The sequence below is a fragment of the Homo sapiens genome, chromosome 11 (genome assembly GCF_000001405.40).
Source record: "Homo sapiens chromosome 11, GRCh38.p14 Primary Assembly".
In the NCBI taxonomy this organism is placed as follows: domain Eukaryota; kingdom Metazoa; phylum Chordata; class Mammalia; order Primates; family Hominidae; genus Homo; species Homo sapiens.
The window spans coordinates 11,536,608-11,552,217 of record NC_000011.10 but is presented as its reverse complement, the minus strand read 5'-3'; the positions used below and the strand labels follow the sequence as shown (position 1 = coordinate 11,552,217).

At 47.9% G+C, this 15,610-nt stretch overlaps 1 protein-coding gene across 6 annotated transcripts in view, besides 1 other annotated feature; it reads left to right on the top strand.

Annotated features, from left to right (window-relative positions):
• GALNT18 (polypeptide N-acetylgalactosaminyltransferase 18) overlaps positions 1-15,610 on the top strand; it is a 351,129-nt gene that overhangs the window by 69,788 nt on the left and 265,731 nt on the right. The window lies entirely within an intron of this gene.
• Positions 13,301-14,129: an enhancer, noted in NCBI's record as "H3K27ac-H3K4me1 hESC enhancer chr11:11559636-11560464 (GRCh37/hg19 assembly coordinates)". NCBI's record gives its function as "activates a minimal SCP1, AML or CMV promoter by ChIP-STARR-seq in naive H9 embryonic stem cells {active_cell/tissue: H9 hESC(naive)}" and the evidence as "EXISTENCE:reporter gene assay evidence [ECO:0000049][PMID:30033119]".

Here is a 15,610-nt window from a genome sequence, read left to right as displayed (position 1 = left end):
ATTGCCTGGAAACCCTGCCTCTTGTTGAAGACCTGCATTTCCAGAGGGCCTATGGCTGCTTTCTCCTTTTCCTTCTTTTCAGTGAATACATTATCAATTTTGTCAGGCCTCTGAGCCCAAGCTAAGCCATCATATCCTCTATGACCTCACGTATATATCCAGATGGCCTGAAGCAACTGAAGATCCACAAAAGAAGTGAAAATAGCCTTAACTGATGACATTCCGCCATTGTGATTTGTTTCTGCCCAACCCTTAACTGATCAATGTACTTTGTAATCTCCCCCACCCTTAAGAAGGTTCTTTGTAATTCTCCCCACCCTGGAGAATGTACTTTGTGAGATCCACCCCCTGCTCGCAGAACATTGCTCCTAACTCCACCGCCTATCCCAAAACCTATAAGAACTAATGATAATCCACCACCCTTTGCTGACTCTCTTTTTGGACTCAGCCCGCCTGCATCCTGGTGAAATAAACAGCCATGTTGCCCACACAAAGCCTGTTTGGTGGTCTCTTCACATGGAAGCGTGAGACAATTTTCCTTTCTAAAGTTCTTATTGCAGCCCAGAAAATGGGCAGTTACCTGGTGGCTCTCCCAGTTGGCTCTCATCAACTTTCCCAAAGCCTTCACCCTGCTTTGTTCTCTCCATGGGAGTAAGCTATCACAGCCCCCCAGTCTGAAATTAAGGCCACTGCACCCTTGATTTCAAGGAAGCTCAAAGATGCCAAAGTTCTTGGAAATTTCTGGGCTTTGGGAATCTGTTTCCGCTCCATGACTTCAGAGATGACCTCAAGCACTAGAGGTTCTAATGGTGGAAGGGAAGTCATGGGGTTTGAAGAGCGCAGGCTAAGGCAGTGGTCTTAACGCCAACTTGTCCGTTTTCCTTCAGGGGAGGGTGAAGAACACCTTGTTCTATGACAGACCTCTGTTGCATAAGAAAAAAAAAATCAGGTTTGGCCCACATATAAATGGGTAGCAACTTTATTTAGTTTATTTTCCTCAGAGAGAAATGTAGAGTATTGAGCTGACCCACTTAAAAGAAGTTTATTCTTTATATAAATAAAGTGAACTTGTTATAGAGTATCTGAAAAATGTTTTTGGTTATTTTCTTCTGGGCTTTTTTTTTTTTTTTTTGGTACCGTATAGAGTTTCAGTTTTATATCCAAAGTTGGATCACCCACTGAAATGTGACTGCTTCAGAGTGATGTTCCCTCTCCCCCAGGAAAGGTGAAATTCCCCCATTGCACACCTCACTGTGTGTTGCTCTTCCTCTCCATGCTGCTTACTGCAATAACAATTAAATCTCTATTAAGACAACTATTGGCTTATTCGTGTAACTCCCCTGGAACTACAATATTCAGGATGGTAGCCACTAGTCACATGTGGCTGTTTACATTTAAATTAAGTGAAATTAAAGAAAATTAACACTTAGCTGCTCTGTTGCACTAGCCACATTTCAAGAGCCACATATGGCTGGGTGGCTACCACCTTGGACAGCGCAGATCTAGACCATTTCCATTGCGGAAAGTTCTGTTGGATAATGCTGCTCCAGACGGTACACTCCCATGGCATGGGACTCCTGTGGTCCTTACCTGTCTGTGTCAATGAGTATCCTATGCACTTGTAATCTGAGAATCTAGGACAACTTCGGAAATGCTTTATTTATAAATTACGGCCAGTTAGAGAGAAAGAGGTAGGTGGTGAGGAGAGAAAAGAAAGGCTTTCAGAAGAGCCCTGTGTGACAATGGATGAGGATGGGGGTTACACAGTTCTGGGCCTCACATGGCACAAGGATTGGCCAAGTTTCCCCAACTGCAGAGTGCTAAACAATCAATGTGTCCAGTTGGAAAACTGTGGGAATGGGACTGCCTTGAGATCCCCTTGCATCATTTTCTGAGAGGTCCGAAGCATGGAAGCCTTTGGGGAAGAGGTGTTAGCAACCTGCTGATCCAGGAGACTAGATCCCAGGGTGGGCTGGAAGCTATCACTGTGGTCTAGACACTGTACCCTGTGTTTCCACCTGGACTGGGACAACTGGTGCCTGTTTTCTGCAGGAGCTCAGAGCTGAGCAGTCCCTGCCCCTGTGTCTTGCCTACTGGATGCATTGGTTTGTAACACCCTGTAATGCTGCTTGATTCTCTGCTCTCTAGGGCTGCCATCAGAGTCCTGTCCTGGAGGCACAGGCTGCCTTTTCAATGGCATCTGCCACTGTATAATGTGAGCCTTCCTCAGCTCCAGTAAGCTCCAGTGGCCAGAGCTGGGTGGCTGGCAGCTTGGCTTTTTGAGAAAGCAAATCAACCAGGACAGGCCCTTGACTTTGTTTCCCCAGCATGACTTCCTCCCCTCCTCCACCCTTCTTCAGGTGTAGGCTGAATAAGGAAGGGAGCAAGTCTACAAGGATATTTGTGTGGGTTAGGTTCTCCTCCAGTGTGTCAGGGCAGGGGAGGTCAATGCTTAGGGTCCCAGCCCAGCCACTAGGGTTGTAGCTAGAACAGTTCAAAGAAGGTTACCACTACTTGAAATAAAAACCACCTGTATGCAATGTTGGGGAGGAAATGGGGATAATGGGAAAGAGCTGTAGGCCAGAAAAGCTAGCCAGTGGAAATCAGACTGGAAGGTCAGGCCAGATAGAAGGGTGGAGCAGCACTTAAGGACCAAGGTGGCCTGTGCCAGTGCCAACTTCTTATGAAGGACTGGGGCCAATTATTCCATTTGGATGGAAGAAGCCCCTTAAAGAGGCCCAAACATGTGGGACAGAATGGTCTCATGAGCAGTGTTTGGCACTGATATAGATGAAGATTCCTAGAAGTGCAGACCAAGCCTTTTTAGGTCATCTGCCGTATCAGTTAGAATTAGATTTAGCAGCAGGGACAGTATAATGGTGGCTTAAGCAAGATAGAAGTGTATTTCTCTCTCAAATTCAAGAAGGCTGGAGTTAAGCAGTCTGGGACTGGTCTAGCTCTTCCAGGATCACAGGCCTGGGCCCTTTTTAGCTTGTTGCTGTCATCCTCAACCTGAGCTTTCTGATTTGTGGTCTGAAACGGCTGCTGCAGCTCCAGTCATTATGTGTGCATTCTAGCCAGCAGGAAGGAGGATGGAGAAGCATATATCCCTTCTCTTTAAGGACAGTTCTGAGAAGTTACATATACCACTTTCTCTTATACCCTACTGTCCATACTGTAGTTACATAGGCACGCCAAAATTTAAGGGAAGCTGGGAAATGTAGTCTTCTTTCTGGGAAGCCATGTGTCCAGCCATAATTTGAGTGTTCTAACTAGTAGCCTCTGCCACAACAGCTAATATAAAGTACATTAGTATGAGTGAAAGTGTAGATGAAGCATCTATTGTTCACCAGGAAAACATCTATTGTGATTAGCAAAGAAGATTTGTATTTGTGTTGAGTTTTCTGCCATCAGCATAGAGATCTGTTAATTGAATTTACATGTACTGCCTTGGATAAGAAACTTTTAGCCTGCAAAAGTGGAGTTGGTCAAGCTGGGAAAAGTGATAAATTGTGCATGTGTTTATTTTTGTGTGCCTGAGGCTTACTGCATTCAGAACTTGTTTAGATGGGCAAAGTCATTATTGATGGAGAGGAGTGAATGATTTTGTGCAGATGGGCAGGAGGCTTTCAGAGGCCTTCCCTCTGGCAAATGGGGAGGGTCTGGCTCAGGAACCCCAGGAGGTCCAGATGTCAGAGGACATGGAGGCCATGCAGAGGTTCCTGTGAGCACAGTGGCAGGGGTCAGAAGCTAGCTGGGACAAGTAGGTCTTTGTGTTGGATGGAGCAGTTTTGTCTTAGTGCTTGGTGCCTTCTGAATGGGTGTTGGAAAGATGTTTCCTTGTGGCTTGGGATGACAGAGGCTGCCTCTCTCTTTTTTCTACCTACTGCAGTCTCACTAGGGTGTTCCATGCAGTGCACTGGAACTGAAGGCAAGGACAAGATTGATTGGAAATGTCAGCCTGTGCTCACTTTTGCAGCTGAGCTATTCAAACTTTTGGAGATGCAGATTGCAGCCTGTGCTGGCTTTATTCATGCAACCATTGGCTGTTCACAGTGTCACACAGTGATATGAAATGATGGCAAATTTAGAAAATCTGGGAAATGAAAAATGGTAAAGGTCTGTCCTGGCATCTTGCATCATGAGGTAGGGCTGTTCTGGAATCCCCAAGCCCTTTCCACCAAAGGAGTTTAGAATTCAGAGTCAGAAGATAGGGCCTGGAGTCCTGGTTCAGCCATTTACTCTCTGAGCAACTTGGGAGTTTCAGGCGGAGGGAATGGCACATGCAAGGGCCTGTCAGTTTGAAGGAGCATGGTACGTTCCAGGAATGGTAGATAGAGCATACATATAGGGCAGGCTGAGAGGCTGGAAGGGCTGCCTTGAATGCCAGGCTAAGGAATTTGGACTTCCTAAGGAAGCATGGAATGAATTTTAGGCTGGGAAGGGATAGGATCAGATCTATGTTAATATTGCTCACCCCAATTGCAGCGTAGAGGATGGGATAGAAGGGAATGTATGGATTCAGGGAGATGGCTTAGAACCCTAAGATTCATGGTAGCAGGGTCTCGAGCAGGGGCTTGCTTGAGCAAGCAGGTCCTGTGGAGCAGGTTTGTCTTAACTCTCGTTGTCTTTCTGAATGGGTATCAAAGAGGGGCTTCCTGCAGCCTGGATGACCGGGGCTGCCTTCCTTTGTTTGTGGGGAGGGACGCATGCCTGGCAACTTCATAGAGGCCCAGGCCATGGGCATTGCCAGAGGCTGAGCAGACCATGCTGAAGAAAGCCACCCCGAGTGCCTGGTCCCACAGGCCTTATTATCTGTAGCTGGCTTTGAATGCTGTTTGCATCATTCACTGTCTAGGGGCCTTACCTGAGCCTGAAGTTGCACAAAGTAGGTCAGGAGCTCCTCTGTGGCTGCCTCCACCCCCACCCTTCACTCCAGCCTTCAGGAAAGATCTGTCTCACCCAGAACTAGGAGAAGCTAGAGGACCTGGGTCCTGCCCACTGGAAGGCAAAGGAATGCACATGTTATTAGGACCTTGTTCCAACAGCAGTGGCTGTCATTTGTTGTGCACCTACTATGTGTATGCACAAGGCTAAATACTTTCTGTACGTTTCTCATTTAATCCTCACAGCAGCTCTTCAACATAGGCATTATTATTTTCATCCTTCATATTAATCAGTTTAAAAGTAGTAGCCAAGCTGCCTTTGTGTTTGAAAATGTCTGGTCAGGCTGTCTGCCTCCCAGAGAGGCATCAGATGAAAATGACAAGAGTTAAAAAAAAAAAAAGAAGATTCCATATCCATCCACCTACCCATCTATCCATTCATCCATACACATCTCCCACCCACTTACTCATCTGCCCACCCACACACCCAACCCACCCATCCATCCATCTGACCGAAAATTGATCTGAGTGCCTGCTCTATGCCAGGTCCTCAGATAATTTATAAGATGGAAGGATGAGAAACCTGGAAGACATCATCAACATTCGGGGTATCTACTGCAGTAGATACCAAGGCCTGTTTGAGGAATAGGTGTATTTGTATGGTTAGAGGTCAGAGTATGTGGACAGTAGATAACACTAGGTAGGTTGGCTGGATCTGGGTTGGGAAAGGCTTCGAAGGCACGGTCAAGATTTTGTGTTTATCCAGTGAGCAATGGGAGCCGTGATACCTTTTACAGCATTGCAGTGGCAGAATTTGATTTGTAGAGGACTATAGAGACGGGATTGTAGGTTCTGAGATGATAAGCGCTGGGATGTCCTCAAGTACAGGCAAGAGATGATGTGACAGAGCCTCAGGCAGCAGGTTGGTGTGGTTGGCACAGAGAGCGGAAGGCAGAAATGGAGAGAATAAAGAGGCAGCAGTGGCAGGATCTAGTGCATGGGGAGGATAAGACAGGGAGTCCCGATGGCCTCAGGTCCTGGCTGGGTTGACAGGGGTGTGGAGGTGGAGTGGGTGTCCACGAAGGCAGATGGGATGGTTGGGTCTCCTCCCTGTGTACCCTATCTTCCAACTATGATGTGGCTCAAGGGTAGCTCAAACAACTGGCTCACTTTGGGCTTGTAAGCCTTCTCAGGGATACCAGGGCTCAGATTGTGTCACAGACACCTGGGAAAGGAATTATAGTGGCAGCTTGGCTGAGTGGCTGGGGAGAAGAGGGGCCTAATCCTGCTTGTTTGCCAATGTTCTAAAGCTGGGAACCTCCCCAGGGTGTCTCAGCTCCTGGAGAAGTTAGCTCTGTTCTTTTCTGGTGTGCTGTGATGTGCTCCCCACCCCACCTTTTTCCTTGCATGCTAGTTGATGCTCTGCACAGAAGTGTTTGTCATTTTGATGCAGGCCAAATGACCACATCCCCCCTGGGATCCAGGCCTTCCCTTGGGCACTGCATTTATGCAGGTAGCTCAGGACAATGCAGAATTTCAAATACCATCCCCCAGGGAGCTTCTTCAGCCTTCCCTTCTGTTCCTTCCCCTGGCTTGGCTGTCCCCTGAGTGAAGGACTGACCTTTACACATGCACTCCAGCTGCTAAAACCTCTTTTGATGGGAAAACGCTTTTTAGTGGTTTTTCTTGGTCCTGTGGCAACTGCTGCCTGGGATGGTGGAAGACCACTTGCCAACAAGGTGATTTTTTTCTGAGGCATGAGTGAGGATTTCAAGGAGTGTGGCTTGGATACACTGTGCACGCGCTTATCTGAATGTGGCCTGCATACCTGCCACAGGTGGGCATGGTTGGCATATATATCCACATGGCTGCACATGGACACACAGCTTGGAATTTCCCATCATGGGGTTTGGCTCCTGGGGGCACAGGTGACCCAGAGCCCATGGGAGAAGGAAGCCCTCTTTCCTGAGTCCTTGCCTGCTAGCAGGATATCTGCATTTTTTTCTTCTGTTTAGGCTAAGACTGGTTTCGGTTGTTGCTTTTTCCATCTCATTGTTCTTTACTTTTATGAAAGCGCATTCAAAGAAGCAGCATGGAATGTTGGAAAAAGCAGAAGCTGTGCAACTGGTCAAGTCTGACTTGGAATCTTGGCATTGAGGCCTGCTATTCATGTGAACTTGAGCAAGTTACTTTAACTCTCTGAGCTCCCTTTTATCATCTGTAAAATGGGATGACAGTCATGCTTTCTACCTCATGTGGTTTGGTAGTTGGAAAGATAGCACAGCAATGGAATGATCTGATACTCTGTAAATACTGCTCTAATTATTTGGGTGAGGTTCAGGAAGGCAGGGTAGTGTAGTAATTAAGAGCTTTGCCTCGGAACCAGGTAGAGCAGGGATCCTATCCCAACTGTGCCCCTTACAAGTCGTGTGGTCTAGTGCAAGTTACTTAGCCTCTCTGGACTTCAGTTTCCTCATCTGAGCAAAGTAATAGATTTCTTCCATAGCACCAGACCAGTGTTTCTGAGTGTGAATTAGAGATGGGGCACTTGAAGGAAAGTGAAGATTCTGTTTGGAGGGTGTGGCCAGGTGATTTTCATAGCAGGCACACCCAAGTTCAAGAATTGTGATGCATTTAGGACAAATACCTAATGCATGCGAGGCTTAAAACCTAGAGGAAGGGTTGATGGGTGCAGCCAACCACCATGGCACAGGTATACCTATGTAACAAACCTGCACATTCTGCACATGTATCCTAGAACTTAAAAATAAAAAGGAATTGTGATGCTTGACTGTTCACTTTTTAAGAGCAGGAGTCATGTCTGTGTGCTTCCCACTGTACCCCAGTGCACAGTATAGCTTCTGGCATCTACCAAGTGCTCACTGATTTTTGTTTGAATAAACAAATTATATGACTTAATGCACCCAAAATGCTTAGCATAGTGACTGGCACAGAACTAGCACAGAAGGAACTTAGCAGGTATCAGAGTGTTTCATTATTAATAATAGGGATGGCCTGTTTCTGAATATAAGTCAGCAGGACCTAGCAGTCCTGGCTTCCAGGGCACATTTGCTCCCACTTGTGTGTACTGAAGGTTGGGTCCCCTCAATGTCCATTACTATGTGCTTGGTTTCCACTGTGGCTACCATCCAGAGTTAGGCCTAATTTATACCCTCTTGAACAAAGGGGACCAGATCTCCCACACCTATGGCATCCAGGGGTCCTGGCTAGACCCATCTGCCATTGGTTTCTTGCCTCTAGAGGGGCTGGCACAGCCTGGGGACCTTCAGTGCTGACGAGGAAGCCTTGTGCGCACTATTGCAGGGCCCCAAAATCCATTTTTATTAAGTTTGTAGGCAATTGTGACAGAGGACTGGACTGGCTTTTTATTGTTCATGTTTCTTGGCTTGGGCCTGGAGTGAGGAAGTCACTTAGGAAAGGCCTTTCCTGTGTGAGGAAGAGCAAATATTACCAGAAGCCATTGGAGCCCAGAGCGCCAGAAGAAGAAATGGGAGCAATAACCACACCCACCCACCGTGGCACATTCGGGGCCCCAGTCACATCACAGAGCCATGGGATGTAGGAGTCAGTGATCTCAGCTGGCCCCTCACTTTGCAGTTGTAAAAGCCTAGGTCCTAGGGATGGATGGGATTCGCATCAGGTCAGTGGGTGGCGAGGGGAGGAACAGAGGCTCTGATGTGCTGGGCACTGAAGCCAGGCCCTTTCTGCCGTTCCATGCAGCCCTGCCCTTCCCCACACCCCTGGCCCCTGGCATGCTGTGGGAAAGACTCCAGCAGCACTTGGTGAATGGTGTCCTGTGCAGAAGCCAGGCTCTTGGTGGGTGGTGGGGACGGTGGGGACAGGGTAGCAGAGAAGGGACATCCCCGACCTAAAATGGGTGGCATATCCAGTTCCAGAGTGGGTCTCCATCGAGGCTCCTTTGTCCTCACCACGTCCCTGTCACTCCAGCTGAGGTGGCCTACTAAGGATTCCTGCCATGAGAGAATGAAGCTAAGACAGTGGACACCTAGGCCACAAATTCTACTTACTCTCAAGGATGCAACAACTTGCAATGATCACAGATCAGCCTGGCTGGAATTAACAACTTTCCAAAATGAGGTTCTAGAAACATCCAAGACATTATAGCCATTTGGCAGGCTCTACTCCCTAAGTGGCAGAGGTAGAAAGACCAGAGAAGGCATCGGCTTCTTAATAATAGTAACTAACACTGACCAAGCACTTTCCATGCACCAGATCCTTCCCAAATACTTTAGACACACTGGTGCATTTAGTGCCTGAAACAACCTTGAGGAAGGTCATATCATTCACTCTTTCTCCACACAGTAGAAAAGGCTGCAGGGGTTCCATGCACCCTGCTCCTCACCCACGAACTAATGGATCCTTCTCAACCACTGAAACTTAGTTACTGACCATTAAACACTTTGCCCAAAGGCTGTGGCTGAGTCTCAGAAAGCAAAGCAAAGCAAAGCAAAACAAAACAAAACCTTAGCACCAAAGTGTTGGAAAGTGCTATCAAAAGCAGATCGATCAGAAATAATGAAGAAAGGGGCTCTTAGACTATAAAGGAACTCAAAGGCAAACTGAAATTTGCTTTACACAAATGTGATACACGCAGAGAGGTGACCAAGATTACACAACTAGAAAGTAGCAGAGATTTGAACCCATGCTGCCTAAGTCCAGAATCAATGTTCTTGACCTCTTTACTCTACATTCTCTTTTTGACACCTAGTTCCTTCTTCTTTGAGCTTGGCATGACTGTTTTCCGGAACAAGGACATGGTAGGAATTATTCTTTGCATGTGAAAAGTGAGAAGCACGTGATGATTTCTTCATTCATTCATTGAAGAATTGCATGTGCCAGCACTGTGGCCTTTGCTGGAATGGGTGGTACAGGGTGGAGACAGATATATAAAGAAACATGTAGACAACATGGAAGTAGGAGTGATCTGGAGAGGAGGTCCAGGTTGCTATGGTAGCATGGAGGCGTCTGTCCATGGCTTGCTCTATCTGGTAGGGAGAAAGGCTGAGGGAAAGGCTAGATCTACAAGGAGGGGAGCTCTGAGTGAGATGACAGGCTGTTCCCACAGTTTTGTTTTGCTTTGCTTTCTAAGACGCAGCCACAGCCTTTGGGCAAAGTCTTTAATGGTCAGTAAATAAGCTTAAGTGATTGAGATGGACCCACTAGCTTGTGGGTGAGGAGCGGGGTGCGTGGAACCCTCTGCAGCCTCCTCACTGGGCAGTTTCCCTCTGCGTTCCCAGCAATCCAACATCGTGGTTGGTTGGCTCCTTCATATTTACAGCGGGGTCTCTGGGGTCTTCTGAAGGGTGGGGGTGAAGCTCCTCCTGGGTTTGGCTCGTGTCTATAGTTGCCTTGCCTGTGATTCTCCTGCAGGAGGTTGTGGCCAGCGAGGTGTGTCAGGACAGCTCTCTGGAAGGGTGGCCAGGCTGAGGGAAAGCAACCTGCTCACTCTTCGGGAGAGGCTTCTGGGCTTGGCTTGTGCCCTAGGCTCACGTGGAAAGTTCCAGGAGAGGGTAGTCTGAGCATCTTTCTCTGGGAGGCTTGGCTGAAGGGAGGAATCCCCAAGGCTACTAGCGACGCTTTGGGGCAATAGAGGTGTGGGGGCTGGGAAGGGGGCCTTACTAGCATGAGGCCCTTGAGAGGGAGCCTTGGATATCAGATCTGAAGGCAGAGATGCATTTGTGGGTGGGGCTGGGGTGCCAGCCCAGGAAGGCTTTATATGTCAGACTAATGGATTAAGACTGGATCCTGCAAGCCTTGGAGAGCCATGGAAGAATTTTAAGTAGAAAGTGGCATGACGAGGTTTGTGGTCTAGAAAGATCACCCCAACTACAGGTGGAAGGTGGATGGGAGGAATGAGGCTGAAGGCAGGGAGACTGGCTGGGAGACCACTTGAAGAGCCAGGGAGAGGTACTGAAGGCGGAGATCATCATCATAACGGTGGTGATCTAGGTGGAGTTTGAGGAAGCCCTGGTGTCCAGTTGGCTATGGGAGGGGAGAGAGGTGGAGGAGTTTGGATGATTTTGGGTCTAAAGTGTTCACAAAAACACAGGCGATTATTTGCATGGCACTGGGCTGACCCTGATTCCTGAGGGAGGGTGAAAGAACTTGTAGGTACAGAGTTGGGCAGTGAGAAACATCAGCAGCCACAGTGTCATCCCCATTAATCTCAGCCAGTGGGGAACACTATGGTCTGAGAAGTGGATGTGGGACATGCAGGGAAGTGTATTGTTTGCCCCTGTTTTAACAGGAGCAAGGGAGCATCACTTTAAGTAATTCTATTTCTGTTTTCCGAAGTATCCACCATCAAAGAAAAGAGAATCATAACATTGCACAAATCTTTTAGCAATTTGGATGCAGTTTACAGGGTTAATATAGGCTGGGAGGATTTTCTAACCCATTTTCCTTCTGACAACCCAGTGTCTGAATAGACAGCACCACCACCATATCTACCTTCCTGCCAATTACCTGTTTCTGTCTGGGTCCTTGAAGACCTGGTGTCTGACACACATTTCCACTGAGTCTAACGTATTGCTGTGATCAGAGAGTCATACAGGGATGAAGTTGTATCATTCAGTGCTTGTTGAGGGTGCCTTTTTGAAGTGCATATCTCATTAGAGGTGGCAGGAAAAATCACAAAGCATCACCCCCAAATCGCAGGGCAGGCCAAGGGAAACTCGCAGAGGCAAGATCAGGGATCAGTTTTCAGGGTCAAAGGGTGCTCTAATTCTGGGAGCCCCTCAGTGCAGCCTCAGTATTACTTATATGATTGCCGTGATTCCAAAGTTTCTAATGAAACTTGGTCATGAAATGAGGAACAGCCGTGTCTCCTATTGGCAAGGTATCACCTGCAGCTCTGCCAGCCCTTCAGTACACACGGTGTGGGTATGGACAAAACAAACCCAAACCACCCAGGGCTCTTGGCATGCTCTTGTCCTAGCATCAGGGATGTAGGAGTCACAAGTTTCCATGGCAACGACGAAGAAAAACATTTATCCTGCACCTTCCAGGGCCCTTCAACAAAGTTACAAGGACGCCTTCTAAGCCCTTGAGAAGATAGCTTGCTAAGGAGACAGAACTGACTATCTCTGTTTTGAAAATGTTGACTTGGAGGTGAGAAGAGGTTTTAGAACCACAAAATATGTTTAGAATAATCCAGTCCAATGCCTTAAGTTTTTAGAAAAAGAAACCGAGGCCCAGAGAGATGGTGGTGGGTGGGGCTGGGGTGCCAGCCCAGAGGCCAGGCTGCAAGTGCCGGACTGGCATCGGGGTCCCCTGTGCAGCTCCGTCTCCCCTCATTTCCCATTGGTACTGGAAATCCAGGTGCCCTTTACCCCTGCAAGGCACTGTGTCTGGAAACTGTATATCACACTTGTGTAAAGCAAATTCCAGTTTGCCTTTGAGTTCCTTTATTGTCTGAGAGCCCCTTTCTTCTTTATTTCTGATCGATCTGCTTTTGACAGCAGTTTCCAACACTTTGGTACTAAGGTTTTGTTTTGTTTTCCTTTGCTTTCTAAGACGCAGCCACAGCCTTTTTTCCAGTCTTTGGGCAAAGTCTTTCATGGCCAGTAAATAAACTTAAGTGATTGAGATGGACCCATTAGCTTGCAGGTGAGAAGCGGGGTGCATGGAACCCTCCGCAGCCTCCCAAGTGGGCAGTTTCCCTCTGTGTTCCCAGCAATTCAACATCATGATTGTTTCGCTCTTTCATGTTCACAGTGGGGTCTCTGGGGTCTTCTGAAGGGCAGGGGTGAATCTCCTCCTGGGTTTGGCTCGTGTCTATAGTTGCCTTGCCTGTGGTTTTCCTGCAGGAGGTTGTGGGCAGCGAGGTGTTCAGGACAGCTCTCTGGAAGGGTGGCCAGGCCAAAGGAAAGCGACCTGCTCACTCTTCAGGAGAGGCCTCTGGGCTTGGCTTGTGCCCTAGGCTCACATAGAAAGTTGCAGAAGGAGAGGGTGGTCTGAGCATCTGTCTCTGGGAGGCTTGGCTGAAGGGAAGACTGTGGGGGAGGCAGTGTGGCTTCAAGGCTACTAGCCATGCTTTGGGGCAGCAGAGGTGTGGGTGCTGGGAAGGGCGCCTTACTGGCACCGGGCCCTTGAGAGGGAGCCTTGGATATCAGATCTGAGGGCAGAGCCCTGTGCCCCAGATGCGTTTGCCCTCAGCACTGGACCTGCACAAAGCAGGTGCACCATTCCCATTTGTTCAGCGACTGAATTAACTCATTCAGCAGACATTAGTGCCTGCTCCCTGCCAGGCACTCCTCTAGCCCAAAGATGTCACAGAGAACAAGATAGTTAGGTCCCTGCTCTGGATATGCCCACATCCTGGGACTGAGTGAAAAGGGAGGCCCACGGCACCCAGGGATCTGGGGGGCACCTCTGTTGACAAAGCATCTTTTACTGGGATCTCTGAAGGTTTGGGTGGGAGGCCAGGCAGTGCTGTGCAGATGGGAACCACAGCCATGAAGTTAAAGGAGGCAGCAGCAGGAGTAAGGAGATCAGCGGGCCTGCGATGTGCAGGCCCTGGGGCCAGGTGCTTCCCAGATGGCGCCTCACTTAATCCTTCCAAAGGCCCAGTGAGGCCCTGTTAAGGTCCCCATTTACTGACTGGGAAACCAGAGCTCCGGGAGGCACCTCTAGGAAGGGAGGACTCACTATCAGGTCAGCCTGTGCTTCATCCCCAGATAGGAGCTGCTGACGAGGCCCCTGAGAGGAGTGCCGCGAGCTCCAGGGCTATCGGGTTGTTGGTGCAAGCAGGGAAAAGTTCACACTAGTTGCTGAGGCCACAGGGTGCTTGTGGTATGCTGGTCTCTCCCACCCTGCAGGCCCAGGCCTCTGGGAGCTGGAGTCAGCCCAGCATGTTGGCTGGTGTCCACGTCTGGGGACAGACACCCCGGGTGGCTCAGCTGAAATGAACATGCGGCAGAAAGAGCAGCCCTCCTCCAGCTGCTCCCTGCCAAGTAAAGGACACCCTGGCCTTAGTGAGTGGCCTTCCCAGCCCCATCATAGCCCTGGGGATGGTGGTGGCAGGGCGGGCTGTTCGCAACACTGACCTTGAGCTCAGAACCAGAAAGGTCAAGGTGTCAGATTGGGTTTGAATTCTGTCTCTGCTGCTTGCTTTTTGTGTAATCCTTAGCTAGTCACCCACTCTTCCAGCCTGAATTTCACCCTCTGCAAAACAAGGTCGATGATAACTCCAGCACAGAGGTGTGATAAGAGTTAACATAAATAAGATTAGTAAAACACTCAGCAGTGTCTGGCATGTAGTAAGTGCTCGGTAATTGGTAGTTATCATTATTGTTGTTATTATATTATAGTTGTATTAGATTAAAATTGGCCATGGAACTGGGCTGGGCTGTAACTCATCCTTTATTCGGAGGCCAGGTCATATTTCCCAAGGATGCACAGTGCACAGATTCTCACAGCAAATAGAGCCATCAGATTTTTAGGGCAGAGAATTCCAAACTTCGTTGTAATCCAAATATCTGAGAAGCTTGTTAAAAATTCAGGGTTTTGGGTTATGCTCCCTTTTATTCCTTCCTGAGAGATTCTGATCATGCGTCCAGGGTGAGGTCCTAAATCAACATTTTTAATAAAATCCTGAGATGGTTCTGTTGTGGCAAGTCCAAGGACTGGGTTTTGGGAAACAGTGTTTTATAACCTGCTTCCTCCAGACCCAGTCAGCTTAGGGATGACTTTCTCCATGGCTGGGCTATTTCTGTCTAATCACTAGGGCCTGTAGTCTTCAGTGAAGCTCCTGTTCTCTGGGCAGCCCTGGAGACACACGGACATATCCTTTCTTCTCAGCTCCCTGTCTAGACACCATGCAGACCTACAAAATCTTTTCTCCTTATAAAACATGATTGCCTGTATCCTGGTGACCACATTTTCTAAATTCTCCAAAGAATTATGGTTAAAGGATTTTTTTTTCCCTGACTTGTGTATTCATCTTAAAAGCCTTACAAAGGTAAAGCAATATATTTATCTTTATTTGTATATTGAACAGATTCCTAGGAAATACAGAGTAGGGTAGCACAGTGGTTAAAAATGCAGACTGACTCACAGCTCCACCCCGATTAACTGTGTGACTTTAGGCAAGCTGGATGACCTCTCAGTGCCTCAGTTCCCTCATGTTTGGAACAGGACTAACAGCAGTGCCTCTCCCATAGAATTATTATGAAGATCAGCAGAGTTGATCTGGATAAAGCACTTGCAACAGTGTCTGATCCATAGTGAGCAGTATATTCATTTTTATATAAAACATAAAACATTCTGCTCACTGTGCAGAGTAAAAATGTAACTGCGTGAGATGGCCTGGACAAATCCAGGAAGAACCAGCACCACACATACTTCAGGAAATTAAATAAGAAACTTAGGTAGTGGTGCTGCCTGGCTTTGGCCAAGCCCTGTTCTTTTTTGCCTTAACATTCTGCCTTGAAGCACCACTTTATGAAGCTCTGGTCATTGTTTTTGCAAAGCAGGAATGCACAAGGCATAACAGTGGTGTGCACCTACCACATGTGAAGCTGAACGTCATTTTGCTAAACGCAATTAGCAGAGTCTGTAAGTCCTTCTCTTTAGAGACTCATTCTGGCTGTGATCTATGTAAGTGGCATGCAGGGACCAGGAGGTTTTTTTTTTTTTGTCTCAATTTTCATTTCTAAGATACGGAGTTGCTAAAGGTCTTG